Genomic DNA, 25,977 nt, shown 5'->3' on the forward strand with positions numbered 1-25,977 from the left:
CTGGCGTGATGTCCTTGAGTAGGCAAGTTGCGCAAAAGGAGGGCTGACCTGAATGGTAGCACAAGGAGGGAAGGCAGAGGGTGTGGCCCAGGTGCTCTTTTCTCTGCTCCCAGACCTGCTCTTCTTGAGGTGGCCTTCCCCTTCTGCCCCCTGCACTTGACCCATTTCCTGGTGCCAGACTCTGCAAGCAGCACTACCAGGGTAATTAGATCGATGTCTTCCCAAGTGTGTGTTGTCTTAGAGAAGGTCAGACCTGGGCAGGTCCCTGATGCCTTTCACTTATTGAGTTCTTCCCATCCTTCAAGGTCAGCTATAACCCAGCTCCTCTGCGAACCCTTCCCTGACCTCCACAGCCTCAGTCCACACAGCTTTCCCCTCTCCTTCCATCCCATTTCCTTCTTCAAGCTGGGCATTGAGGAGCATCCTTGGAGACCTAGGACAGGTGAGGACAGGAGCCCATTTCAGCTGCATTTCCACTTATCACCAGGAGGTGGCTCAGAGTAGCAAGTGCCTATGTCAACCATGATGGAAAGAACTTGGAAAAGGAGTAGGGAAGTTGGAGACTGTTAGTTCCTTTCTGGCTCTGCAGGCCGCTTGTCCATGGCGCTAGCCTGCTTCATTAGTCCTGTCTGCTGCAGGGCCGAGGAGGAAATTCTGATGCTCTCAGTGAGAAATGGTGGCTCAGGGCTGCAGAGGAGCTTTAGGAGGACTCTGAGAGGAAAAGGCCCAGAACGGTTAAGCTACCTCCTCCCGCCACATGGTTAGTTTGTGGCAGGGATGAGAGGTGAGTCCTGGTGTCCTGGTTTTCAGCCTGCTGTACTGTCAATGCCCCTTCCCGCCAGCCAGGGTCAAGCATTCACTCCAGAGTTCAAGCCTTCATTCAGCTATAGCATCCCAGGTGGGAGTGAGGGAGCATGAGTGAGGAGCCTGGAGGAGAATGAGCCAGAGTTCCTGCCCTAAGGGAGCCCTCAAAGTGCCTGGGGAGATATGACATGTGGCTTGGGCCAAGTGGAGAACACTGTGGGCAGCACACATCAGAACAGACCAAGGCTGAAGCTGGCACCTGCTCCTTGGAGGAGGCTTAGGGAAGTAAGTGGATTGGTCCAGTTTGAGAGGACAACCTCTGATAGACTCCCTCCTCTTAAGCTGGGAGGAACTGGACTACATGAATATTTATGGAGGGGTGGAGGGTGATGGAGACGGGCCACATTTTGACAGCAATGCTGACCCTAAAGAATAATGAAGGGCTGGTCAAGGAACTACTAGGGTGAGGGGAGAAACTCCAGCTGGAGTCACTCCTCAGAAGCCACACATCTGGCTGCACATCTCCCTGAGTGGACGGCATCAGTGCTGCTGCTCAAGTTCCTGTTTGGAAACCCAGAGCCCATCCCTGTTTGCCTGTGAAGGTGCCAGGTTCCTGCAGAAAGTCTGCTTATAAAGGATTTCTTTTGAAGTTATGTTTGTGATGGTCTCATCAAGAAAACTGAGGAAGGAACAGGAGCCACACATGTCATTTAGCTGAAAGTCCTGTTTTAAGAAAACAAACGCAAGGTTGTATTCATGAGCAACTGCTAACCACAATAATGGAAGAAGCAGTTAAGCTAATAAGATATAATACCCCATACTTCATGTAGTAACCTTGGGAGAGGTAGGCCAGTGGGCAGGAAGCCCCATGTCTGGTGGCAGAAGCAGGGTGGGAAGGAAACTGCAAGAGAACTGAGCCTTGGTCACTGACTGAGGATGTTGCGATTCACACATCCTGCTTCGTGGCCTGGATTGTCTCGAACTGGGTTCTTCCCTAGCACCAGTAACCCAAGTGGAGACCTAGCAGCAGCCAAGACATGTTCCCAAGAAGGGTCACTTTCACTGCAAAATGCCTATCTCCAGGAGAAGAGGGGGAGTGGACTGAGAGAAGCCAGGGAGAGAGAAAGGGCAGGGATTTGCAGTCAGTTGTCCTGCCTCAGGGATTAGGGTTGACATGAAGAACTGCAGGTTAAGAGTGCTCCATTAAGGAAGATTAGATAAACTGTTCTCACCACTGGGGCAGTTAAACCTTCCCTTGAGTCCCTTTGGTAAGGTGCCCTGAAGATGCCTAGGCATAATGTCACAAACCCAGCTGAAAACGAATACCACAAAGAGACCCTGTGACTCTGAAAACAGCAATATTTGCACTTAAGATTCAGCACCTGGCTTACTCCTGTAGTCCTAGCTACTAGGGAGGCTGAGGAAGGAGGATTTCTTGTGCCCAGGGGTGAATTCAAGGCTACAGTGAGCTACAATTGCACTACGGCACTCTAGCCTGAGTGACAGAACAAGATCCCGTCTCTTAAAAAATAAAAATAAAATAAAAAAGGATTAAACTCCTGGATTGAAATTCAGATTTCTGGATTCCATATGGTTTATCCACTATCTTCCTTAAGAGGGCCATCACCACTGGCTTGTGAGGCAGGGCCCCTTGTTCTCCAAGCCAGGGGCACTCGATCTTATTCATCTAGCAGGAACCCTTAGTTGTTCTGGTCAGTGCCTGCTTCTCTGAGCCTGTCTTGGGGCAAGCCTAGGAGCAGGGCCAGGACGAGCATGAGGTACCTGCACCTATGATGCAAAACTGAAGGAGGTGCTCACTTTCAGGTCAGCGCAAGGGTGGAGCCTGTTCAATTATTTGCATGTGAGAGCTATTAGAAAAAAACAACTCCCAATGAGATAGAAGAGTTCCCCTGGTAGCATGGTGCTGTTTTTAGTTTGTTCTGTTGTTTTGTTGTTTTGTTTTTTAAACTCTGTACAACCCTCCTATTTGGAGGACCTGCCACCTTCCTTCCGACTCACCAGCAGCAGGACACAAACTCTGAAATGGCTTCCCGGTATTGGGAGTGTTGTCAGCCAAGATTATAGTAAAGAAATTGGAAAGGGAAAGGGGATTGAATGGTTCAGTTTCACCGGGGATGGGGAGGAAGACAGATAATGGAAAGGGTGAACAGGGAAGAAGAGCAGAGGCTGGTGAGTCAGATAGAAGCAGCTAGTTAGAAAAGACTGCTTAGAAGCTCTTTCGTTATGTTGTTGTGTGTGTATTAGGGCCTTAGGGTTACGGAGTGTTCCCAGGCGATCCTCCCTGGAGGACCTGCTCCTCTTTCATTAGGCTGCTCCTGTTATTTTGCTTGCCAGATGCTTCCAGCTGGCAGTAGTTGGTTCTAGACATTTGAAGCCTATTCCAAGACTCAATTCCCAGGACTAAGAAACTAGGAAGCCGGAACCTGCAGTGGTTGCTATGCACCATATTCAGTTTTACACCGGATTCAGTCATTTGAGAGAAATGTGGTTGCCTTAAGTCTAGGCTGGATGGAATGGTTCCTGATGGCACCCTATGAGTCCTAAGTGAGTGGGCAGAGTGGAGTGCGGGTGGGTGGCTTTTGCCAAGACATCAAGGATTTGAGGCCTAAAAATGCAAACAACTTGGGAAGTAATATGCACCAACCAGCCTGAGGGAAGGGAGGCCAGTGCCAAGGTATTGGCTTAGTGTCGCAGGGATCCTCGATAAAATCCCCAATCGCCACTTGGGCCTTAAATCCCTGACACTGCCAAGAATTGATTTTTGTTTCTTATGGAAGCAGTCAAAATGAATACATTTTCAGTATCATTCTTAGGAGAGGCATCTCAATGTTTCTGAGCCGCTTTCTATGAGATGGACTGCTTAGCTGCTCTAAAAAGACAGAAATATCTCCATAGCTTACACTGTACAGTTTGCATTATCTAAGTGTATTTAAATAGATGAGAGAGACACTTTCCCTTTTGCATGTCAAAGGAGGCAAAAGGAAGTTTTCTCCTAATTTCAGTCATAATTTCTGCCCTGAGGAAAGTTATAATGTTCTACTGTATGGATACACCACATTTTGCCTATCCATTCATCTGGAGATGTAGACACTTGCGTTGCTTCCACATTTTGCCTATTGTGAGTAATGCCACTAAGAATATGAGTGTACAAATATCTCTCTGAGACCCTGCTTTCAATTCTTTGGAGGTATGCCCATAAGTGGAATTGCTGAATCATATAGTAGTTCTATTTTTATTTCTATTTTTTGAGACAGAGTCTCACTTTGTCACCCATGCTGAAGTGCAGTGGCATGATCTCAGTTCACTGCAACCTCCGCCTCCTGGGTTCAAGTGATTCTTCTACCTCAGCCTCCCAAGTAGCTGGGACTACAGGTGAGCGCCACCATGCCTGGCTAATTTTTGTATTATTATTATTTTTTTAGTAAAGATGGGGTTTCACCATATTGGCCAGGCTGGTCTTGAACTCCTGACTTCAGGTGATCCTCCCGCCTTGGCCTCCCAGAGTGTTGGGATTAGAGGTGTGAGCCACCTTGCCTGGCCTATTTTTAATTTTTTGAGGAACTACCAGACTGGTTTCCATAGCTCAAGGCTGCTCCTTTAACAAGCTTTCCCCAAAGCCTCAATCAGTGAGTTTCATTTCCATCTCATTTGCCACACTGGGTCACGTGACTGCCTCTAGCTGCAAGGGGGTCTGAGAACCCACGTATTTTCAACTAGGCATAGAACTTCTTAGAACAAATGCTACACTCTGTTGGTAAGGAAGAAGTAGAGAATTAATTTTAGTGGACAACTAGCAGCCTAAGGGCAAATGAGAACACTGAAGGGCTTCAGGTAAGCAAGAGACATTGTGGGAGGATTTGCGCTTTAGAAGGCTCTCTCTGGCAGCTATGGACTGAGGAGTCACAGTCAGCAGAATTAGTTAAGAGGCTTCAACAACAATCCAGTGAGGAGTGATGGGGGTTCAGATGAGGATGGTGTGGCAGTAGGGTATTCAGGAAAGGGAGGGATTCCTAACATATTCTAGGGCACCCCTTCAAGCCTGCCTGGATATTGGCAGTGGGAAGTGGGGGGAAGTGGGAGGGAACGAGGGATGAGTCCAGGTTTTGAGCATAGTCCTTCCTGTATATCTAGAAGGGGAAACAGGTTTTGGGGACATGTGATAATTCAATTTTGCACATGTTGAATTTGAGGAACCTGCAGGATGGTAGGTAGATAAAAAGTGGGATAAGGCTTGTCCCAATCTGGGTCTTTTGGGATTGGTTTGTGACCTCCTTGGGGAACTTGAAGCAAAACTGGAGATAGCACATTCTGAGTCATCTACTACTGTGCTGACCTAGGAAGCAGGTTGTGGGGAGGTGGGGGGTGGGAGGGATAGAGGTGAGAGGGGTAGGGCTGCTGTCCAGAAAGAATGCATGAAGACAACCTTCCATCCTGAGTTTTTCTGGTTCTGACGGGAATCTCTGTGTAGCACCTCCATTCCTGAGTTCCCAGGGACAATCAGGCAAACATTCTCTGAACCAAGGAGACCCCTGCATGATGGGATGGTCATTCTAGCTATCTGTGTCCAGATCCAAGTGTCTGAGTCTCAGATGAGCTGGTCCTACACATGTGCTATCTGTGCCCTGCCCAAGCTGTTTCCCCCTCCTAGGGGATCAGAGCCCTCTCAATCTGCTGCTTCCAGGAATGAGAGCCAATACACATTTCCTTCCCTCCTGACCTCTGCTCTTGAATGATTATTTTAAAATCTCCCCCCATAGACACACTATAAACTGCTCTGTGATGTTCCTTCACTGTCCACCATGGCTGAGTCATGCCAGATTATAAATCCCTTAGGACAGGACCAGCGTCACCACCGCAAGGCACAAGGCACAGGACTGACTCTTTGTGAAGGGAAGGAAAGTAAGTTTCTCTAGATCTGTTCAATGCCACCTCCAGGGTCCTGCAGCAGGGCTCCTAGCTCCCTCAGCCCAAGGACACCTCTCCATGTGATGCTACTTCCCCAGGTTGCTGGGCCAACTGGAGGCTACTCATCCTGAGACCTGTAAGGCCAGACCCAGGCTGGACGAGGCTGGTCAGGGCCTGGCAGGGCAGTGGGGAGCAGCGTGGAATGGTCCAGAGTTCCTGGAGGTGGTCAGGGACAAGACAGCTGGGCCTCTCTGCTGTCATCCCTAGGAGCAGTCAGCAATTACACAGACACAGCTGCTGTGTGATTCAAAGACACATATGCACGTAGACTCAAATACAGAGTTGCTTGAATGTGTTCACAAATATACACACCCGGCCGGGCGCGGTGGCTCACGTTTGTAATCCCAGCCCTTTTGGAGGCCAAGGCGGGTGGATCACAAGGTCAAGAGATCGAGACCATCCTGGCCAAAATAGTGGTGCGCACCTGTAATCCCAGCTACTCTGGAGGCTGAGGCAGGAGAATCGCTTGAACTCAGGAGGCGGAGGTTGCAGTGAGCCGAGATTGAGCCACTGCACTCCAGAGCCAGACTCTGTCTCAAAAAAAAAAAAAAGACAAAAACCCCCCACAAATATACACACCCATGCACCACCACCCCTACCCATACACCACACGCACACTTAAATTCAGAGGGCAAATCCCGGTTCCTCCCTTCATAGCTATGTGTCCCCAAGTTACTTAATCTCTTTGTATCTTAATTTCCTTATTTCCGATCTGTAAAAATGAGAATAATGGTATTCACCTCAATGAGTTGTTGTGAAGATTAAATGAGATAAAATGGTAAAGAGCTTACAACAGTGGCAACACATGCAGAGAGACGCACATGTTTTCATACTCATTTCCCAAGCCCTGCCCAGTACTGCCACTGGCACTGGTGGTGAGCCTGGCAGCAGTACAAGGTTGGAGTCCCTTCATCCCTTTGAGCCTTGGTTTTCTCATCTGTGAAATGGGAATAATAATATCTAGCCGGCGGGGCTGTTTGGAGGAACTAAAGAGGCCCAGCATGGAAAGCTCCTAACCTAACTCTGGCCCACAAAAGTCTCCCTACGTTTTAGCTGTCACTGTCCCTGTGAGGAAGAACAGATCCAAGAACAGGTGCAGGGATGGGCTGCACCACAGCAAAATCTGGACAGGCCCGACCCCCATCTCCTCCCAGGCTGGAGCGGGGCCCTGTAAGGACAGAGCCCAAGGCCACTAGGTGTCAGGCCTGTTGGAGCCAAGTCCGGCCAGCAGTCTGGGGTGGGGCTGGGGGCAGGGCTGGTCGGATGGCCGTGGGTGGAAGGAAAAGAGGAAAACCAGCTCAGTGGAAATTGTCCTGCGGTTGGCTCAGGCGCCCACGACACTGTATTTATAGAGAGCTCCTTGCAGCTCTTAATTCCTCGCAGTCGAGTTAACCCTTTCTGGGCTGTGGTGCCAGCATGGTGTGGAGGAAGAACCCAAGACTGGGGTTGGACAGCAGGATTCCAGCCCTGTTCTGCCGCCAGTCGATGACCAGTCAGTCACCTATCCCCTCTCGCAGAAAGGAAGATTCGGCTCTTGGAAGTGTGGGAACGGGGTGGGGGATGGGCAGCGCCCTGCTCCGGGAGCCGAGGGTTTTCCCCGCCAGGGTCAGGCCTGGGGGCGGGGCGGGGCGGGGGCGGGGGCCAGGCCGTGTGCTCTGCCCAGCGGGCTGGCTCAGGCCTCGGTCAGCAGCCGCCACCGCGGGGCCAATCCGGCCTCAGGGACGCACCGGAGCCGCCTTTCCGGGCCTCAGGCGGATTCTCCGGCGCGGCCCGCCCCGCCCCTCGGACTCCCCGGGCCGCCCCCGGCCCCCATTCGGGCCGGGCCTCGCTGCGGCGGCGACTGAGCCAGGCTGGGCCGCGTCCCTGAGTCCCAGAGTCGGCGCGGCGCGGTGAGTGCTGGCGTGGCGCGGGCGGCGCGGGGTGGGGCGGCCTTTGTCTGCTGCGGGCCGGGCCTGGATCCCGCGGAGGTCCGCACGTTCCCGCTCAGGGCTGCAGGAGCTGAGCAGGGCGCCTTCCCTCCGGGCTCCTGCTCCCCTGCCCTCCCCCAGGTCCGGGCGGCCCCCCTCGCACAGGAGTCCCGGGAACCGCGGGCGCCCCTCCTGCCCTGGGCTGTGGGGCCCGCGGAGAGCTGGGGGCTCCCGGATCCTACCCCGCCCCCCTTTCCTCGGGTTGAGAGGGGCCCGGGCGCCGTCGGACCTGCAGACCCCGGAAGCTGCGGACCGGGCCGGGTGGGTGAATGCGCTTTTGCAGGCCCCGGGTCTGGAGCGGGCATGGGGGCAGATCTGTCCCGTGTTGAAGCTTAACGAAGCCACCGGCCGGCGCTGGGAGGTTAGCGGGGTCTCGGGTCCTGCAGAGGAAAACGCCCAGCTCCGGGAGGGGAGCGGCGGGGAGGGAAGGCGAGTGGTTAGGCGTGTCCACTCTGCAGGGCCCAGCAGGGCGAAGGTGTGGGCGACTGGTGCACTTCCACAGGCAGCCGTGGGCAGCATGAGGGGTCAGATTCCGGGAAGGACAGGTAGAGACGGCTGGCAGGGGCCACGGGGTGAATAGGTGTTGGGGGTGGGGAGGGAATTGGGATGGGCAGTTTGGGCTTGGGAAGCCTCAGGGAGGTGGGGGGTGAGGTGGGATGGAGAGGAGATGCGGGCGACGGTGGAGGGAGGTGGGGACCCCGAGTGGGGGCACACTAGAAGGGAGGGGATTGAATTCCAGCGCCCAGGGCCCTCCCTGCGACCGTTTAGCTAGCGAATTGGCAGGTTTGGCAGCCTAAGGCAGGGGATTTATTTCTAAGCCAAACCTGCTCTAATGAGAAAAGCGTGATAGATGACTCAGATATGGGATCTATCACTGAGGGAAAACATTAAGCAAATAGTAAAGCAAAAAAGATTTGTGTGTGTGTGTGTGTGTGTGTGTGTGTGTGTGTGTGTGTGGCGGGTGGGGGGGTGTTAGTTGTCTTAATTTAGAAAAACGATTTACCTTCAAATTGGATGTGGATAATTGTAAATGAGTCTGATCTCTTCATTAAAGCCCGGGGTCCTTTTCTTATAAGCATGTCTTCAGCAGTTAGTTTCTATATTAGAAAGTAATGAAGCTGCTTTGTCTTTAAGAGAGTTCTTTATTTAGTGCGGCCTCCTCTAGTTCCCTCTGGCCTCCCAGAAGTCCCTAGGAAATCTGATGCTGTGCAGCCTTCCTTGTAGTGTGGGGGACTGCAAATAGGTGGGACAGTTTGAGGCTGAGGGGAACTGAAGTCTAAACTTGAAGTCTAAACCTGTCCGATGGGTTGAGCTGATCTGAGTGCAGGGCAGGATGGAGGGCTATGGGGCTGTAGGGTATGAAGTGGCTCATTTCAAGGGAGTATTTTGGGTGAGTACATTTTCCTGATATCTGGAGTTCTTGAGATTAAGCACTAACACTTAGGGTAACTGTTGACCGTGGAAATTTACATACGTCACCGTCAGCTTACTGGAGTATCCTGATGTGAATGAAATTTTCCTTCATGACTTTGGGTCAGCCCTGTGGACCTCAGTTTTTGTTCTGAGGGGTTGTATGGCAAGGGGACGCTGGCGGGAGAGAGCTTCGTTCCTGCATTAAGTGGCCTCAGTGATGCAGTCAGGGTCCCATGACTGACCTTTGGAGTTCTTCCATGTCCTTATGGCATTACTGGTGGTTTCTCCTGCCTGCAGTAAGCTTTCCAGCTTACTCTAGACTCCTGTGCTGTGAGACATGAGCTTGTCAGAGGTAAGGAGCCTGTGTTAATGCAAGTCTCAGGTGAGAAGGGGTGTTGGAATCTGAGGACCCTGTTTTCCTTCCTGTCCCCTCTTCAGCTCTGTCCAGGCACCACCCGATGGAGGGTTGGCTGAATGTCTCATGTTCATATACCTGACAGCTGGCTTCGGTGCTTTAATATTTATGGAAAGGACAGTTATAGAAGTGTGGTCCCTTCAAAGTAGTCCTCTGGGGTGTCTGTGTCCTTATTAGGTTGACTTCTGAAACTTCCTGTGAGAATTCCATCATTAAACTTTGGCTTTCTCTGGAGGGGTAAATCTTTGTTCTTTGGAGTAGGATTTGAGTTTGACAAGGAGCTGGACAATGCTGTTTGGAGTCAGAGATGCAGTGTGATAAGAGAGCTGTGAGTTGGAATTCCACAGCACCTAAAGAGACTCCTAGAAAATGTTGTAGAACAAGTGGCTGGATGGTACTTGGTTGCACATACGGGGTTTGGGGTCTGTGCAGAAAAATGACCAAATCCAAGCAGCCTCTGAGATTATGACCACATGGGGGCTGTTAAGCTGTGGATCTGAGTCATAGGGTCAGGGAAAGAGGAAAAATGGCAAGGAGGATGACGTTACTGCCCATGAGCTTATCCTCTGAGTGGGTGGCGACTTCTCATTGTCCTTTTCCCACATCCCCAGGGCAGGAGTGTTAGGGAAGTCCACCAGCAAAAGGGGGAGGGCACACCCAGGGCCTAGGGGAGGGGGAGAGGGGTGAGGACTGGTCCACATGATTTTTGAGAAATTGCCTTTGGTCTTGTTGGCTCAGAATGGACCCCACACCTGGAAGGGGGCCACGTGTACAGTTATGCAACCCTTGCCTGCCACCCCCAGTTCTACCGCCCTTGCAGTGTGCCAGATAGGAGCATTGGGTTTTCAGGTTTGGGAGTGGGTAGGGTTGTGCTGGAGGCTAAATAGACATTATCTCATGTAATCCTCATAGTAATCCTATGAGGTAGGGTATCATTAACACCATTGTACAGTTGGGGAAACTGAGGCCCAGAAAGGGTAAGTCACATGCCCAAAGACACACAGCCGGCAAATGGTGGAGCTGGGCTGTTGTCTGCTTCCAGAACTGGCTTTTTCTGCTGCTCTGGAGGTAGGCACAGGTTTTACCCCTCTTTCTGGAGCCCGGTAAGATGTGCCAAGGGTCTCCTTAGTAAGTCAGGGAAGACTCATCTGGGGAACCAGAGAAGGGGCAGGCCTGACCTGGGTGACCCAGTGACTAGTGGCCTTCACAGCATAGTCAGGGCCTTTGCTGAGAGTTCTTCTCTTCCAGAGCCCTGGACTTTATCATGCTGGGGCTTCCAGGAGTTCCCCCTCCACCCTCCAGTTCTGACCAGTGCTCCCAGCCAGCTGCCCCCTTTCTCCCTTTCTTTCTCTTTGTGGTCCAGAGAATGAATGCCTGCTCCACACACCTTATGCCATTGGGAATCTGACCTTCTCTAGGCATAGGGAGCTTAATCTGCGGGAAGTGGAGTGAGAAGCATTTCTTGCTGGGAGCCTTGGAGCAGGGAGAGATACTGTCTCTGGGAGGCAGGGGTCCCAAGTTACCCTAGAGGCAATGCAGGCTCCTAGGAACTGGGGCTGCCTTGTGGGAGACATTGGAATGTGTCCCTGTGGGAATGCTCTGTGCTAGGGGCTATGGCAGCAGGACGGTAGGAGCTCATGGTACTTGGAACTGTGACCAAGCATCTGCGAAGAGGAAGGGGCCCAGGACCACTAGAATGAGTCAGAGCCAGAGATGGAGTCGAGTTGTGCATTTGCTACTTTGGAGCTGGGGCACTGATAGGGCTCTAGGTGAAAAGTAGGGATACAGAAGGAGTAATGGTCCCAGAGGCCCAGATGTGTGGCCTGACAGAGGAGGTCTTGGCCAGGGAGAGTGGGGTAGGGGCAAAGTGTTCGCTCAGTGCAGAGGCCCCATCTAGGAGGCCTTGTCCCCATGCTTGCGGCAATAATAACAGCAATAATAATAATTATTACTGCAGTTTTGGTACTGGGCACTTTCCTAAGTCCTCTCTCTCTATTGTCTTATTTTATTCTCACAGCAGCCCTGTGGGGTAGGGATTGTTACCCCCATTTTAGAGATTTGGAATTGGGTCTCAAATAGGTTAAGTCATTTAAACTTGGTCATGTGTTCAGCAAGGCATCGGTGTCAGGATTGAAACCCAAGGCTGCTGGCTTCTGAGCTCATGCTGTACCCTGGGCAGGCAAGGCAGCCTGGTGATTCCATTCAATAAGTGAGGAAGAGAGATAGGAGCATCAGCTGGCTCTTAGTCACTTCTGCTGGTGGCTGATAATTGAGTGTGGGCCCTTGGCCAGCCGGCCACCACTCTGGGTCCAGATTTCCATCTGTACAATGGGCCTGGAGCTAGGCGCTGGACCAGGTGTACCGTAAGAGGCCTTCTAGCTCTGAGGACTGGTGGAGATTGCTACACTCCGAGAGGGGTCTGGTGCTTAGATGGAGAGGGGTCGGCAGAGTTGTTCTGCTAAGCTGAGCCTCTTTCAGGGTAGAAACCAAAGGAATTTGGAGGCAAGGAGGCATTTAGGCAGATCACATCTGGAGAAAATGCACCCTTCCTTGAGTGCAGTCTGGAAAGGCTTCTGGAAAGGATAGGATTTCCAGATATGTTTAGGTGGGCACCTAGCAGGACTCAGCAGATATTGAGTGAATGCAGATGTGTGTGCCCTGGGCCTGCCAGTGTCTGACCCGAAATCTGCGCTCTGATGTGGTCTCATGTGCTCTCATCCCTTTCCTTCCTCTCCCTATTCTCCTTGTTGCCATCCCTTCTTTTGGCTGGACCTCCTCTGGGCCCAATGTAGCTTTCACTTTTTTCAGGGCTCTGTGCCTCCTGTGTGTGTGTGTGTGTGTGTGTGTGTGTGTGTGTGTGTGTACACATTTCCACATGCATGTATAGGTCAGTTTTGCAGCCCCTGCACATGCCTCTAGTTCCAGGGAGACCTTAGCCCTGCTTTGCTGGCCAGCCCTGATGACATACTACTGTCCTGACTCACACAGAAATCGCTTGGAGAGGAAGAACTGATTCCTGCTCTTGGGTGGGATCACGGGACTGGGGAGTGGTGCCCAGTGGACAGCCTTGAACATAAAAGGCCCAAACTGACTCAGATTATCAGGAAAAAGGAAGGCAAACAGGGAGGCTGTTCCCAGGGAACTCTAGGGACCCTCCCATCTCTTTTCTGAGGCTGCTGCCCATTTATAGAGCACCTAGTATTAACTAGGTCAGTTTTGATAATTTTGCTCATTGAGTCCTATAATCATCCTATGAGGGTAAGGTTTATAATCCCCATTTTACAAATGAGCAAACTGAGGCTCAGAGAGGATATTTTCATAAAGTTTCATTACTAGGAAGTGACAGAGTCTGGATTTGAACCTGTCTCTCCAACTCCAAAGTCATCTTCTTAAACACTAGTGCTAACTTCTTCCATGAAGCTTCTTGTGATTACACCAGCCCAACATGCGATATGGTCACAGCATGGGATGGTGGTCAGGACCCTTTGATGGTTGAGGAGATGAAGACCCAGAAAGGCAAGGGGTTTGGCCTAGGGAGCCTGGCAAGTGAGTGACAGAGCCTGGTCTAAAGTCCAGGATATCTCTGTTGTTGCTGTTTTCCTTTTTTCGTTAATTGCAAAAGAATTTACATGTTCATAGTTAAAAACAGAGAAGTGTATCAAGTAGAAAACAGTAGCAAACTCTCACCCTTATTCTGACACTCCAGAGTTGCATTCACTCTCAGGCATCCAGATCCTTTCCCCATATACAAACATCCATCCATCCATATATCTATCCATCTCTCTATCTAAACACACATGCATTCATTCGTTCACTCATTGAATCGTGCATTGAGAACCCATTATGTGCCAAGCCATTGCTAGAATTAAGGATGCAATAGTTAAATAAAGCAGATGTGGTTCCTTCTCAGGGAGGTTCTCATATATCATGAAGAAAACAGACTGGGTGCAATGAATGACAGGGTCCTTCTTAGAGTGGCAGATCTCTTACCTGGCTTTTCTGTCAAGGTGACCCTCAGAATATGGAGGTGTTACCTTTTATCTTAGTCCATGTTTTACTGCTATAACAGAATACCACAGCCTGGGTAATATATAAAGAAAAAAAGGTTATTTGGCTTGTAGTTCTGGAGACTGGGAAGTCCAAGGGCATGGTGCTGGCATCTGGCGAGGGCCTTCTTGCTGCATTATCCTATTGTGGAAGGGCATGTGAGCGTGCAGTACAGACAGTATGGGGGCAGCACTTACGCTTTTATCAGGAGCCCACTTTTCCTGTGATAACAGCATTAATCTCTTCACTTCTTACAGGCCCCACCTCTTAATACTGTTACAGTGGCAATTAAATTTCAACATGAGTCTTAAAGCACCCATGTCATCTAGGAAGAAGAAACTGTATTTGCAGCAACACTGTGAGGTAGGAAAGGGAGTCCTATGTTGTAGGAACTGGAAGCAGCCCACTGTGGTGAGGGGCAAGTAGGAAGAGGTGAGGCTGGGCAGGTGGGCAGGGCCAGGGCAGATGGGGCTCTGTAGGCTATGGAGGAGCTGCGATCTTATCACAAGGAAAGTGAACAGCCCTATGATTAACTATTGAAGGCAGTGATATAATTTATGCTTTTATATTAATAGCAATTATTCTGGCTGTTGTATAGAGTATAGATTGGAGAACAGAATTGGGTGGGGGAACTAGAGAAGGTGAACAGACTGGTGAAGAGGCTTTTATAGTTATCCAGGCAAGAGATGATGGTGACTTGGAAGACCAGGAAGAGAAGCAGGGGTAGAGAGAAATGGAGATAGTGAAGATATAGCAGACATATTTGAGGAGTCCTTCAGTTACAGATAATAGAAAACTAGCTCAAGCACATTTAAGAAAAAAAAAAAAGACTTGTTTAAGTACCTAGGCAGTCTATGTGTGCAGCTTGCTTCAGGAATAGGGGCTTAAATGATGGTTTTAGGGCTCTATATCCTTCTAGCTTCCATCTCTGCCTCTGTTCATTTGTTTGGATCAATTCTTTAGATTGTTGGTAGCAGACACATTTATTGCTAACAGTCCCAGACCGTATCCTTCTTAGTAATCTCAACAAGAAAGAGTCTTTTTTGATGGCTGCAGCAGCAAGGCTCTGGGGAAGTCTCTGATTGGGTGTGGCTTGGCTTACAGCTCATTCTCGAACTAATCACTGAGTGGGGGCAGGGCAGGTTTCTCCATGAGCCAGGTCTTGTAACATGCCCAGGCCCTAGGCTGGGAGGACAGCTCCACCAGTACAGCATGGACTGGGCTCCCTGCAGGAGTGCGGAGCCTTGCTACCAGAAGGGGCCAGCATAGACCAAGAGAAGGGCACTGTAGAATAAAGGACATGGAGCAAAATAACTGTGTTAAGACTAGCTACCAAAGACGGAGACGATCTGCTCGGCATTGAATTTGCCTCTTTGTCAAGGAAAGAAGGAGCAGAAGATGTTAAGAAGGAATTGAAGTTTAGGCCATACGGGGAGGTGCTCATCTGTTTTAACTGTATTTGTCTTCTGGCCCCTGGGATTGCCTGTCCTGGTGTGGGGTGAACTTGGAGACAGAATCTCTGAGAAGCTGTCAGGGATATTTCAGGCCAGTCTAGGGTAGAAGAGGGTTGGACACGTGGGTCACAGTATTCCACAGTTTCCTGCTGTGCACAGATTCAATCCGAGTCCCCATCTACGTCCCTCACTACCTCCCTTGCCTCCTCTCCTGAGTCTCAGCCTCTCCTGGAGTCCCATCTTCCCAGAATATGCTGTGGACATCTCCTCTTCTGTGACTTTTCATGCTGTCCCCTCCGCCAGATAGCCGAGATGTCTCCTCCTCTGTGCAGTCCTTACTGAGCCTCCCCAGCCCCCAGTGAATGGCTTGACCCTTTCATCCAGGTTTAAGCCTACTGCCTCGTCCATTCCCACAATACCTTGTATAAATGTGTACCAAAAAACTGGTCATATTCTATTTTAATGATATATTTGTTTCCTAAACCTTTTTTCTATTTTTAATATGAAAATGTGGGATTTTAAATATGCCATTTAGCAGCTCTGTAATCTTGAGCAAGTTATTAAATCTCTCCATCCCTGAATTTACTCCTCGGTGAAATAGGATAATAATAGTACCTACTTCACAGAATTGTTGGGAAGCTTAAATGAGTTAATATGTGTAAAAGCATTTAGAACAGAGCCTGGTGCATGGCTTTCAACAAAACTGGCCTATGTTATTATTATTTGATAAAAGCAAAATAATATATATAACATGGGTAACTTTTGAAGCATAATAATAAACATACCTCCCAACTTGAGAATGAGAACCCCTGTAGTTGAATATTTATATGTACGATTCTTCATCTCCATTCATATTGCATGCATGGCCAATGCCTGGCATGTGGATCATGAATAAGCATTTGTTGAATGAATAAATGAACAAATGCCAGAAGACTTGAGACAGGGAAATAACCAGTTTTATGGGGAAGATGGTAGATTATGGGAACAACAGATCGATAATCTTGTTCTTAATCCTTGACAAAGTCCTGGAACCAATGAGCACTTGAAGAAGAGCCCACTAGTAGGCACTTGCATGGCTTCACTGGGGTTTTGAAAATGCACTTCTTTTCTTGTTCTTCTCCAGTTGATTGGTCCCCAGCCAGAAGCAGTGAAGCTTCTCATGACAGCCCTGGGGATGAGATGGGTAGATGGGAGCTGGGTAGCAGCACAGGTAGGAACACTCCTAACCCCGGTGTACTGAATGGTGGATGGACATTGATCATCCAGGGACAGATGGTGCTGTGGGCTTTCCTATTCCTGTCCTCTCCCTGAGGACCTTGATGACACCCAGACACCAGCAGAGAGAGGAGAGTAACCTTTTCAGATGATATTCATTCATTCTTTTTTTAATCCACCAACAAATTATTGAGCATTGTCTATGCACCAGAACAGTCAAAAGAGTACTTCAAAAGATCACGACAGGGTTACACAGCATTGTAAATATAGTTAATGCTGCCGACTTATACACTTAAACCTGGATAAAATGGCCAACTTCATGTTATATATATTTTACAACAATGAAAAAAATGTTGTGGCAGTTGGAGGAATGGACTCAGTTTAACTGGGTGAAATGGAATAGTAACAAATGAAATATCCTGTAAAACTCCTCCCCATTCTGAACTCCATCAGAAGAGGATGGCAGAGGTGTGGATTAGCAGCAATGAGTGTGAGTGACTTCTGATGGTTGGCTACAGATTTGATAGTCTGTTATTTTGGGTTATTTTGGTGAATGGTGTGACATGGCTGCTCAATGGTGACTTCGTCAAGGAAGATCAAATACTTGCAGGGCTTTGATAAGGAAGGGGGCAGACTCATTCTGTGTGGTCCAAGGGGTCACATGAGGACTGTTGTGGGCTGTATTGGGAGACAAATTTGGGCTAAGTATAAGGTAGAGCTTCTCACCGATGAACGCTGTCCAAAAGCAAGTGGATAGCCCATGCAGGCCATGGGTGCCCATCACGGGAGGGCAAACAGAGATTGTGTGTATGCGGTGGGTGGGGGGAGGGGCAGGGAAAGGTTCCCTGTTCTGATACTTGATCATTAATTTCTGCAGTTTCCCCAGAATTTGTTCTCATGGCATCATCTCCCTCAGTGACCCCACCTTTGGTTCTGTCACCACCACTGCACGAATGACTGCCATGTCCCTCTGTTCTGAGCTGCAGCTCAGTGTGTCTGGGAGTCCATAGGACATTTTGGTGTGGATGATCCATAGTCGAGCTCAGTAGGAACTGATCTTCCCCCTCCACGTGCTTCATCTCCAGGTCTCCTTGTTATGTGTGTCCATGTTTGCCCATTGCTCAAGCCTTCAGTGCCCTCTTGACACCTTCAGCCCCTCCCTCAATACAAACAGTCCCCAAGCCTGGTCACTTCTACCCTTGACATTTGTCCAAAGCTGGGCTCAGGCATCACTCGGTGACTCTGATGAGATAGTCTCCTGTTCGTATTTTGAGATACCTATTTTAGATGTGGTTTCCTTTTGTGGCTCTGAGCAGTGGCAATGCTCATCGGGTACGGAGACGGGGAAGAGAAGGAGGGAAAGTAAGGGTGGGATGGCTCCTTAGTTAGTTCAGATGCTGTAAGAAAGGCCCAAAATAGCAATGACTTATGCTGGAAGAGATGTTTATTTCTCACCCATGTGACCATCTGGGTATATCCAGGGCTGATACTACAGTCCCTCAGGGTTCTTCTGTCTGCTGCTCTGCCGTCCTCAGGGTGTTGCCTTTGGCAGTATGATCGCCACACACACCACATCTATGTTCCAGCCAGTGGGAAGGGGGAGGGGAAAGGGAGGGGAGGGCATGCTTCTCTCTTTCAGGGCATGACCCAGAAGCTGTACACATCAGTGTACACATTGCATGGCCACACTCAGCTGCAAGTAAGGCTGGGATCTGCAGTCGTTAGCTGAGTGGCCGTGTGCCTAACTAAAAATGCTATGGAAGAAGGGGAGAGCTGGGTGTGCTGGCAGCACCTGTAGTCCCTGTTACTCGGGAGGCTGAGGCAGGAGGATCACTTGAGCCCAGGAGTTACAAGGGTGCAGTGGGTTCTGATTGCACCACTGAACTATGATGGTACCACTCCAGCCTGGGTGACAGAGCGGGACCCTGTCTCTTAAAAAGGGAGAAAATGGGTGTAAGTGGACAACAACTAGCAGTTTCTGCCACAGTCACTTTGTGCATTTCAGTGGGAACTGTGTGGCTGTGAACTGGTTAAGCCTTAAGGATATAGTCCCTGAAAGCTTCAAGTACTGATAAAGTTCCACTAGCATCCACAAAGCTTTTCTTTTATAGGTAGGAACACTGAGCTCAGAGAAGTTGCCTAGTTAAGATTGCATAACAAAGTGTCAGAGCTGGGACCAGAACCCCACACTTTGGGCTCATTTTCTAGAATTCCAGGGTGATCTGGCTGAGGGGCAGACAGGCAGTGTCAGGAGGACGGGTCTCTGGAGTTCAGGAAAGGGTTACCTTTCCCAGCGCGGCTACCTGGGGAGCTGCTCATGACTTTTCAGGGATCATCTCTGGGGTTATCATGCCTCTGAGGTGCCTCCAATTCGCCCTGACCATATCATAAATAGTATACTATACCAAACTGCAGTGATCTAACTGCATGTCCCCCTTCCCTATTAGAATCTGCTCCTTGAGGACAGACGTGTACCTTAGTTATCTCTCTGCCCCTAGTACGTCCCTACCAGGAACTCCGTAAGTAGTGAAATGAATTACTAAAGACATGAATGCATGTGGATTCAAGGACTCCTTCGGTTGCAGACAATAGAAACTTAGTTCAAACTGGTTTAAGGGAAAAAAAATGATTGGCTCAAATATCTGGGCGGTCTAGGTCTGCAGCTTGCTTCAGGCATAGCTGGATCCAGGGACTTGTCTGACATTTTCAGAACTTTGTGTCTTTCTGACCCTTTTTGTCCCTTTGTGGGAAGTGTTGCCCAAGGAGCCCCTGCGGGGATTGGGAGGAAGTAGGGGGTTAGGAGGAAGTGGAGTGATGTGGGTGATTATGGTGGGGGGCAAGGAGACCCTCTTGGGCATCCCCAGGCCCAGGGCATTTTGGCCCTGAGCCCAGGTGCAGTCTGGATTTGTTGTAGCTTTCTGAGGGCACATCTTGGGTCATCTCTTGGGAGCCTCCCTGTGGCCCTGCTTCTGCAGGGTTGGATGCCCTTGCTGTACCTTAGGCTGAGGACAGCCTGACCCCTCTCTCCTGCTGCTCTGTGAAAGCCGAAGGTGCTCTGTGGTTTTGGGATAGAGCAGGAAGGAGAAGGACGAGGAGTGGGCACTGGCAGGTGACTCACCGGGACGGGTGGCACATGCTGACTCCAGGGCAGGTCCCGGCTGGGGATGAGATTCCCCTTTGTGGAAAACATGGGTGGAGGGGGTGGTACGCAGGCAGCATGAGGCCTGCGTGGCTCCACGTGGCTCTGGGTCCCGGGCCGACCAGCTCTGTGTTCACAGGACACTCTCCCATTCTCCAGGGAGCACTTCCTTTCTGAGCTCTGTCTCTTTCTCCTGTCCTCAGCTCCTCCAGGCCCAGCTGTCAGCGTAGGGGTCTCTGGGTGCCGTGGACTCTTCTGGTCTCTTTGCTTCTGGGCTGTCAAACTGCTTCTCTCCAGGGCAGGTTTCCAGGATCCAGAGTCTAGGAAAGGAATGAAAGGGAGCAAGTCCAGGGCGCAGCCCTGGAAGTCCCTCATCTTCCCTCTGGAGGGAAGCGCAGCTCGGCCCTGGGAGAGCCTGGGTAGGTCTGATCAGGGGAGGTGCCCTCTGCTCCCTGTACCTGCCCAGAGTGGCAGGAATTAGCCTGATATATGAAGGAGACAATTATATGAAGAGTCTTGAGTACCAGGCAGAGGAATGGGGTCTGACTTCTATAGTGAATGGGGAGCCATGGGAAGTTCTTGAGCAGGGGAGGGACATGAGCAGATTCCTGTCTTAGGTCCTAAGAGAAGGCACCTTAGAGAATGGGGCTGGCAGGGAAAGAGAGGAGCAAGCAGGGCCAGTGAGGGGGGTGATGGGTCAGGGTGGGAGATGGAAGCTTGAGAAGCAGTGTGGAGAGTGAGGGAGGCGGCCCAGGAAGAACCCACAGGCCTTGGTTCTGTCTGGGGTTAAAGAGAGGCAGGGAGATGTGGAATCTGGGCGTTCGTTCATCCTTAGCCCTGGTGCTTCCCGCAGGGGTTGGGCAGGTCCTGCAGGCAGCTGCCTGCTGGATCTTCCTGTGGGCCTCAGGGTGGCCCTTGTGGGGCAGGATGTGGTGCCTGCCAAAGGTGCTTTATGAATGGAGCCGGGGAAGGCTGCTGACTCAGCAGGCAGTAAGGCTTTGAGGCCGGAAGCGTCTGGAAAGGAAGTGGCTGCTCAGGGCTTCCCCACTGTAGACAGCTGGGAGAGAAGGGGGGCTGGCCAGGATGCACATGGTTTGGCTGAGGGACTCCCTTGGCCCAGCTGCTGGGGGTGTGTGTGTGTAGGAGTGGAGGGTGGCGGGGGGCGGGTGTGCCTGGCTGGGATTGGAAGGATTGAGGCTGGGCGCCTGGAATGGAATTGAGGCTAGCAGCTGTTGATGAGGTTTGCTCCGTGGAAGGGTGGAAAGGTGTAGCAGAATTGGACTCTTTTTGGCTGTGCTGACTGGCAAATTACTTGACATTAACAAAGTCACTTATCTGGGCTTTAATTTTTTTTTTTTTTTTTTTGAGACAGAGTCTTGCAGTATCGCCCAGACTGGAGTACAGTGGCGCGATTTCCACTCACTACAACCTCCGCCTCCTGGGTTCAAGCAATTCTCCTGCCTCAGCCTCCTGAGTAGCTGGTATTACAGGCCTGAGCCACCACGCCCAGCTAATGTTTATATTTTTAGTAGACACAGGGTTTCACCATGTTGGTCAGGCTGGTCTCAAACTCCTGACCTCGTGATCCACCCACCTCGGCCTCCCAAAGTGCTGGGATTACAGGCATGAGCCACCACACCCAGCCATGGGCTTTAATTTTTTAAAGTCCTGCAAAAATAGGACCAAGTGTTACAGCCTATCTCCCAGGGTATTAGGAGGACGTGAAATCATTTCTATTCTTGTTGATCAGTGTTGGTTGGCATAGATGTGGCTTGATCAGGACATGGCACAAATGTTTAGGCAGCAGCTGTGGGACTCAGGGACAAGGTGTGTGCAGCCTGGAGGGTGGCTGGGATTGGGAGCAGGGCTGGATTTAGGGATGTCTGCCCTTCTCATCCCCAGCTCAGGCCTGACCTGCAGCCACAGACTTGCCTCTTACTCAGTCCTGACTCCAGCCTTGAGGTCATCCCCAAGTCCTTGCCTCTTCCACTTCTGATCTGTCTTGGTCACTCAATACAGATGTGTTAAGCTAGCAAATGTTCTCTCTCTGCATTCCCACACTCATACACCTAGTCGCCTCCTAAAACTCTGTCCTAGAAGCTTCTTTGCAAATACTGCTGATTTCACACAAGCTATACTGAACCCTTCCATTTTCTCTGCCTCAGTGAATGCTCCACCCTGTCACTGAGGCTCAAAACCACGGCCAACCTGACTGCTCTTTCTCTCTACCCAAGTCCTCAGATACTGTCACTTTTACCCAGACATGCTTTGTCTCCTGTCTGGCCCTTCATTTATTCCACCACTATACCTTCCTACAGGGATGGCTATATTAGCCTCTTTTTTTATTTTTATTTTTTGAGATCGAGTCTGGCTCTGTCACCCAGTCTGGAGTGCAGTGGTGCAATCTTGGCTTACTGCAACCTCTGCCTCCTGGGTTCTAGCAATTCTCCTGCCTCACCCTCCCAAGTAGCTGGGATTACAGGTGCCCACCACCATGCCCAGCTAATTATTTGTATTTTTAGTAGAGATGGGGTTTCACCATGTTGTTCAAACCGGTCACAAACTCCTGACTTCAAGTGATTCGCCTGCCTCAGCCTCCCAAAGTGCTGGGATTACAGGCATGAGCCACTGCACTCAGCCTGAAATAGCCTCTTAACTGGCCTCTCCCTTGCCCTGATACAATCCAGTCTATGCTGAGGAGCTAGAGTGGGTTTTAAACATTGTTACCTAGATTATGTGTGATTAAAATGCTCCCCAGTGATTCCCATTACTCATAGAAAAACCCAAATTCCTCACTGGTCTCTCAAAGCCCTGCTTGATCTGGCTGAAACATACCCTCCCATCAGATAGCGGGTGGAGGTGCTGTCAGATTAATCTTCATGAAGCTCAGCTCTGACCGTGTATTTCCCTTATTCAGGAAGCTTCAGTGGCTCTCAACTGCCTTTAGGATACATTTCACACCTGTCAGCCCATCTCTAAGTCTGGCCCCCACAGGAGCTCCTGCTCTGCCCTACCAGCTACTGTCTGCCAAATTGATCTGCACACATCCTAGCCCCAGAGCAAGCCAACCTTGCCTTCACTTGCCGCCTTGCCTCCTCTTCCTTATATTTGGATACTAACATCTTAGCTGAAAGGGTGGATCCCAGCTGCCCCCTACCCCATCTTCCCTGTCAGGCCTCCCCAGGGACTCCCTGCCAAGCATCTGTCACCAAGATTCCTCAGCAGGGGGCCCGGTGGGATATGGGAATGAGGACCTCCCAGTGGGCAGTTGCAGCCTTCCCCACTCTGGTCCAGGAGAGATGAGGCAAGAGATGGTCTGGGGAGAACCTTTGGAGACAAAGGCCTTGCGTCCTCTTTCTCCCAGGCAGGGGCAGCCTTCCACCACGGGGAGCCCAGCTGTCAGCCGCCTCACAGGAAGATGCTGCGTCGGCGGGGCAGCCCTGGCATGGGTGTGCATGTGGGTGCAGCCCTGGGAGCACTGTGGTTCTGCCTCACAGGTGAGGGTAGCAGCATGGGGACGGGAGGGGAGGGACAGTGATTGTGGCAGTTGGGGAGGGGGTGCCCACGCCTGTTAGGGGTCCTGCCAAGCCAGCTCTGGCTAGCAGGGCCATACCTTACTTCCACCTGTGGGATCCAGTAGGCAACTCACGTTACTGTTCTTAGCCTCCATTTCCTTGTCTGTAAAATGGGAACATGAGTGCTAAATGAGATCGTGCTATTTCTTGAATACACTGTGTGCGCCCCCTCCCAGGACCTTTCCACTTGCTCTTTCCTCTGCCTGGAACTTTCTGCCCCTAAACGTCTGCATGACTGGATCCCATATTTTGTGGAGGTCTTTGCTCAATGTCACCTCCTCTCAAGGCTCTCCTAGCTCCCTTGTATAAAATAGCACACCTCCGCTCCTCCCTCCCTATCCCTGGCCTCCCTGCGTTATTCTGCCTAGATTCGCCCCCACCTGGCGTTTGCTTGCTTCCTCCCTGTTCAAAGAGCAGGGTCCATCTCAGGGCCAGAGCGGCTGTTGCATAGTAGGTGCCCAATAACTGTGTAGAATAAACGATGTGACTCTCCCCACACGGTGCTTGGCACACAGGAAGCACTCAATAATAATAGCTACTTTAATAACAATATCCTCATCACATTTCAAATTCTCATCAGCATCTCTGCTCTGAGACGGCTTCCTCCGTGGGGAAGACAAAGCTGAGGGTCTGGCGCCATCTTGTGGCCATAAAGAAGTGCCTGTCTCTACCCACGGCTGCTCTGATTTCTCTAGAGCAAGAAAGGGTTTTGTCTGGGTGACTTACCAGGTTTCATTCCCCCAAATGTCCCCTCCAAGGGGCACCCTGGTTCGACTGACAGGGCATGAGAACTGGCCTGGGGCACCAGGGGTTTCAGCAAGAGATCCAAGGCTAGCTTAAGAACTTTAGAGATCTCTAGGTACTGCAAAGATTATGATACTGAGTATGATTCACAATAAAAATAATAACCATAAAGTCAATGTTATTTTTCTAAATGCAGGAAACCTTTAATGAGTGCTGTATTCAATTAGCATTGTTTCAAGGTTGATCTTCCCACATTTTGAGTGTGCCTGCTTTGCTAGTGCTCGAAGCACACAATCTAACCATTACCGGAGAATGGTAGTGCCAGGGTGGGGGGGTTCGCTTCCCCTCCTCCCCTCCTCCTCCTCCTCTTTTTTTTTTTTTGAGATGGGGTCTTGCTCTGTTGCCAAGGATGGAGTGCAGTGGCGCGATCTCGGCTCACTGCAACCTCCACCTCCCAGGTTCAAGCAATTCTCCTGCCTCAGCCTCCTGAGTAGCTGGGATTACAGGTGTGTTCCACCACCCCTGGCTATTTTTTAGTAGAGGTGGGGTTTCACCATATCTGCTAGGCTGGTCTCGAACGCCTGACCTCAGGTGATCCACCTGCCTCGGCCTCCCATGCCGGGCCTTTTCCCCTCACTTCTGACTCATCAGCAAGTCCTGTTGATTCCCTCCTAAATAAACCTTGAATCTGATCCCTCTCTTCTTCTCTACTACCACCCTTTGAAGCCACACCACCCTCACCTCTTACAGGGACAGCTGAAACCGCCCCTAACTGGCCTCCCCCTTGCCCTGCCACAGTCCAGTCTCCACAGAGGAGCTAGAGTGAGTTTTAAGCATTGCTACTCAGATTATGCGTGATTAAAACACTCCCCAGTGATTCCCATTACTCATAGAAAAAGTTAGATTCCTCACTGGTCTCTTCAAGTCATCTTTGGTCTGGGTGGGACATGCCCTCCCATCAGATGTGTCTGCCACACTGGACGCTCCCCGATATTTTCACACAGCAAGGCCAGTCTTGCCTCAGGGCCTTCCACCTGCTGTTTCCTCTACGGGGTTCTCTGTATGTCAGCTCTTTTTCATTCCCTATAAATTTCAGCTTAATTGCTTTAAAGAGCATGTGCCTCACCACCATATTTAAAGGTACGGGTATTCTTTCTTGTATAAAAACAAATCGTGTTTCGTTAGGAAAAGAAAAAAAAAGAAAAAAAGAAAAAGCACTTGTGATTCTCTCTCCTCCAGAGAAACCACTATTGACATTTTTGGTGGATACTTTTTTGGACTCCCCAATTTATAACATTACTTACGCTCATGGGGAAATGCACATGGTGCAGGCAGGTGTAAAGTACCTGCCAGATTTTTGAAAAGCTGTTGCTTTACTTACTAACCTGCTGGCTCCTTTTCCTCACATACCTTAGTCACATGCTGACGAGAATCTGTGTGCCCATTTGTCTCTCTCTCCCATTAAAATGTAAGTTCTGTGGGGATGTGACCGTAGTATTGCTCTCTGTTGCATTTCTGACTTTTATGCTTGGCACCTGTAGGTGCTGACTATATTCTTGACTGAATGAGGTCCTAAGACAATAAATTACTTTGGGTCTCAGGCCTAAAAGGAGGGGTGGACAGGGCCTGGGGTTAGCAGGGGCAGGGAGCGGGACTAGGGAGGCCCACCCCTCCTCAGTCCCCCTTATATGTTCTCCACTCCCCCTACCCCCAGGAGCCCTGGAGGTCCAGGTCCCTGAAGACCCAGTGGTGGCACTGGTGGGCACCGATGCCACCCTGTGCTGCTCCTTCTCCCCTGAGCCTGGCTTCAGCCTGGCACAGCTCAACCTCATCTGGCAGCTGACAGATACCAAACAGCTGGTGCACAGCTTTGCTGAGGGCCAGGACCAGGGCAGCGCCTATGCCAACCGCACGGCCCTCTTCCCGGACCTGCTGGCACAGGGCAACGCATCCCTGAGGCTGCAGCGCGTGCGTGTGGCGGACGAGGGCAGCTTCACCTGCTTCGTGAGCATCCGGGATTTCGGCAGCGCTGCCGTCAGCCTGCAGGTGGCCGGTGAGCACCAGGAGGGGGACGCCTTCCCCTTAGTTCACCCTCCATTCCCCCTGCAGCCCACCCCCTGCTGCACCACTGCTCCCAGAACCCCAGTGCTGATTCCTGTACTCAGCCCCATGCATCCTTTTCGTCCTCTGCCATTGCCCTGCCCTTGACCCCTGCCCT

The 25,977-nt window shown here is 50.7% G+C and overlaps 1 protein-coding gene across 9 annotated transcripts in view, besides 13 other annotated features; it reads left to right on the forward strand.

Moving 5' to 3' along the window:
• Nucleotides 6,491-6,999: an enhancer, noted in NCBI's record as "H3K4me1 hESC enhancer chr15:73975613-73976121 (GRCh37/hg19 assembly coordinates)". NCBI's record gives its function as "activates a minimal SCP1, AML or CMV promoter by ChIP-STARR-seq in primed H9 embryonic stem cells {active_cell/tissue: H9 hESC(primed)}" and the evidence as "EXISTENCE:reporter gene assay evidence [ECO:0000049][PMID:30033119]".
• The window catches only part of CD276 (CD276 molecule), a 30,571-nt gene continuing 11,756 nt past the window's right edge, over nt 7,163-25,977 (forward strand). For 2 of the 9 annotated variants that reach the window (NM_001024736.2, NM_025240.3), the window contains exons 1-3: nt 7,602-7,679; nt 22,805-22,937; nt 25,474-25,812. In NM_001024736.2, coding sequence (NP_001019907.1) covers nt 22,859-22,937; nt 25,474-25,812 — 418 coding nt within the window. In that variant the 5' untranslated portion in view covers nt 7,602-7,679; nt 22,805-22,858. Of the gene's footprint in view, nt 7,283-7,433; nt 8,119-9,437; nt 21,268-22,804; nt 22,938-25,473; nt 25,813-25,977 lie in introns of those variants that run through there. The other 7 variants (XM_017022638.2, XM_011522095.3, XM_005254700.5 and 4 more) reach the window with 7 other exon arrangements.
• Nucleotides 7,383-7,432: a silencer, noted in NCBI's record as "silent region_6635". NCBI's record gives its function as "represses an Ori minimal core promoter by ATAC-STARR-seq in GM12878 lymphoblastoid cells {active_cell/tissue: GM12878}" and the evidence as "EXISTENCE:reporter gene assay evidence [ECO:0000049][PMID:35858748]".
• Nucleotides 7,553-7,682: a silencer, noted in NCBI's record as "silent region_6636". NCBI's record gives its function as "represses an Ori minimal core promoter by ATAC-STARR-seq in GM12878 lymphoblastoid cells {active_cell/tissue: GM12878}" and the evidence as "EXISTENCE:reporter gene assay evidence [ECO:0000049][PMID:35858748]".
• Nucleotides 7,693-7,822: a silencer, noted in NCBI's record as "silent region_6637". NCBI's record gives its function as "represses an Ori minimal core promoter by ATAC-STARR-seq in GM12878 lymphoblastoid cells {active_cell/tissue: GM12878}" and the evidence as "EXISTENCE:reporter gene assay evidence [ECO:0000049][PMID:35858748]".
• Nucleotides 7,983-8,032: a silencer, noted in NCBI's record as "silent region_6638". NCBI's record gives its function as "represses an Ori minimal core promoter by ATAC-STARR-seq in GM12878 lymphoblastoid cells {active_cell/tissue: GM12878}" and the evidence as "EXISTENCE:reporter gene assay evidence [ECO:0000049][PMID:35858748]".
• Nucleotides 8,017-8,523: an enhancer, noted in NCBI's record as "H3K27ac hESC enhancer chr15:73977139-73977645 (GRCh37/hg19 assembly coordinates)". NCBI's record gives its function as "activates a minimal SCP1, AML or CMV promoter by ChIP-STARR-seq in naive H9 embryonic stem cells {active_cell/tissue: H9 hESC(naive)}" and the evidence as "EXISTENCE:reporter gene assay evidence [ECO:0000049][PMID:30033119]".
• Nucleotides 19,312-19,823: an enhancer, noted in NCBI's record as "H3K27ac-H3K4me1 hESC enhancer chr15:73988434-73988945 (GRCh37/hg19 assembly coordinates)". NCBI's record gives its function as "activates a minimal SCP1, AML or CMV promoter by ChIP-STARR-seq in naive H9 embryonic stem cells {active_cell/tissue: H9 hESC(naive)}" and the evidence as "EXISTENCE:reporter gene assay evidence [ECO:0000049][PMID:30033119]".
• Nucleotides 19,824-20,336: an enhancer, noted in NCBI's record as "H3K27ac-H3K4me1 hESC enhancer chr15:73988946-73989458 (GRCh37/hg19 assembly coordinates)". NCBI's record gives its function as "activates a minimal SCP1, AML or CMV promoter by ChIP-STARR-seq in naive H9 embryonic stem cells {active_cell/tissue: H9 hESC(naive)}" and the evidence as "EXISTENCE:reporter gene assay evidence [ECO:0000049][PMID:30033119]".
• Nucleotides 19,824-20,847: a biological region, named in NCBI's record as "H3K27ac-H3K4me1 hESC enhancers GRCh37_chr15:73988946-73989458 and GRCh37_chr15:73989459-73989969".
• Nucleotides 20,267-20,561: an enhancer, noted in NCBI's record as "tiled region #8861; HepG2 Activating non-DNase unmatched - State 10:DNaseD, and K562 Activating non-DNase unmatched - State 10:DNaseD". NCBI's record gives its function as "activates a minimal TATA promoter and a strong SV40 promoter by Sharpr-MPRA in HepG2 and K562 cells {active_cell/tissue: HepG2 | K562}" and the evidence as "EXISTENCE:reporter gene assay evidence [ECO:0000049][PMID:27701403]".
• Nucleotides 20,337-20,847: an enhancer, noted in NCBI's record as "H3K27ac-H3K4me1 hESC enhancer chr15:73989459-73989969 (GRCh37/hg19 assembly coordinates)". NCBI's record gives its function as "activates a minimal SCP1, AML or CMV promoter by ChIP-STARR-seq in naive H9 embryonic stem cells {active_cell/tissue: H9 hESC(naive)}" and the evidence as "EXISTENCE:reporter gene assay evidence [ECO:0000049][PMID:30033119]".
• Nucleotides 23,624-23,673: a silencer, noted in NCBI's record as "silent region_6639". NCBI's record gives its function as "represses an Ori minimal core promoter by ATAC-STARR-seq in GM12878 lymphoblastoid cells {active_cell/tissue: GM12878}" and the evidence as "EXISTENCE:reporter gene assay evidence [ECO:0000049][PMID:35858748]".
• Nucleotides 25,225-25,946: an enhancer, noted in NCBI's record as "H3K27ac-H3K4me1 hESC enhancer chr15:73994347-73995068 (GRCh37/hg19 assembly coordinates)". NCBI's record gives its function as "activates a minimal SCP1, AML or CMV promoter by ChIP-STARR-seq in primed H9 embryonic stem cells {active_cell/tissue: H9 hESC(primed)}" and the evidence as "EXISTENCE:reporter gene assay evidence [ECO:0000049][PMID:30033119]".

The sequence above is a fragment of the Homo sapiens genome, chromosome 15, assembly GCF_000001405.40.
Source record: "Homo sapiens chromosome 15, GRCh38.p14 Primary Assembly".
NCBI lineage: Eukaryota > Metazoa > Chordata > Mammalia > Primates > Hominidae > Homo > Homo sapiens.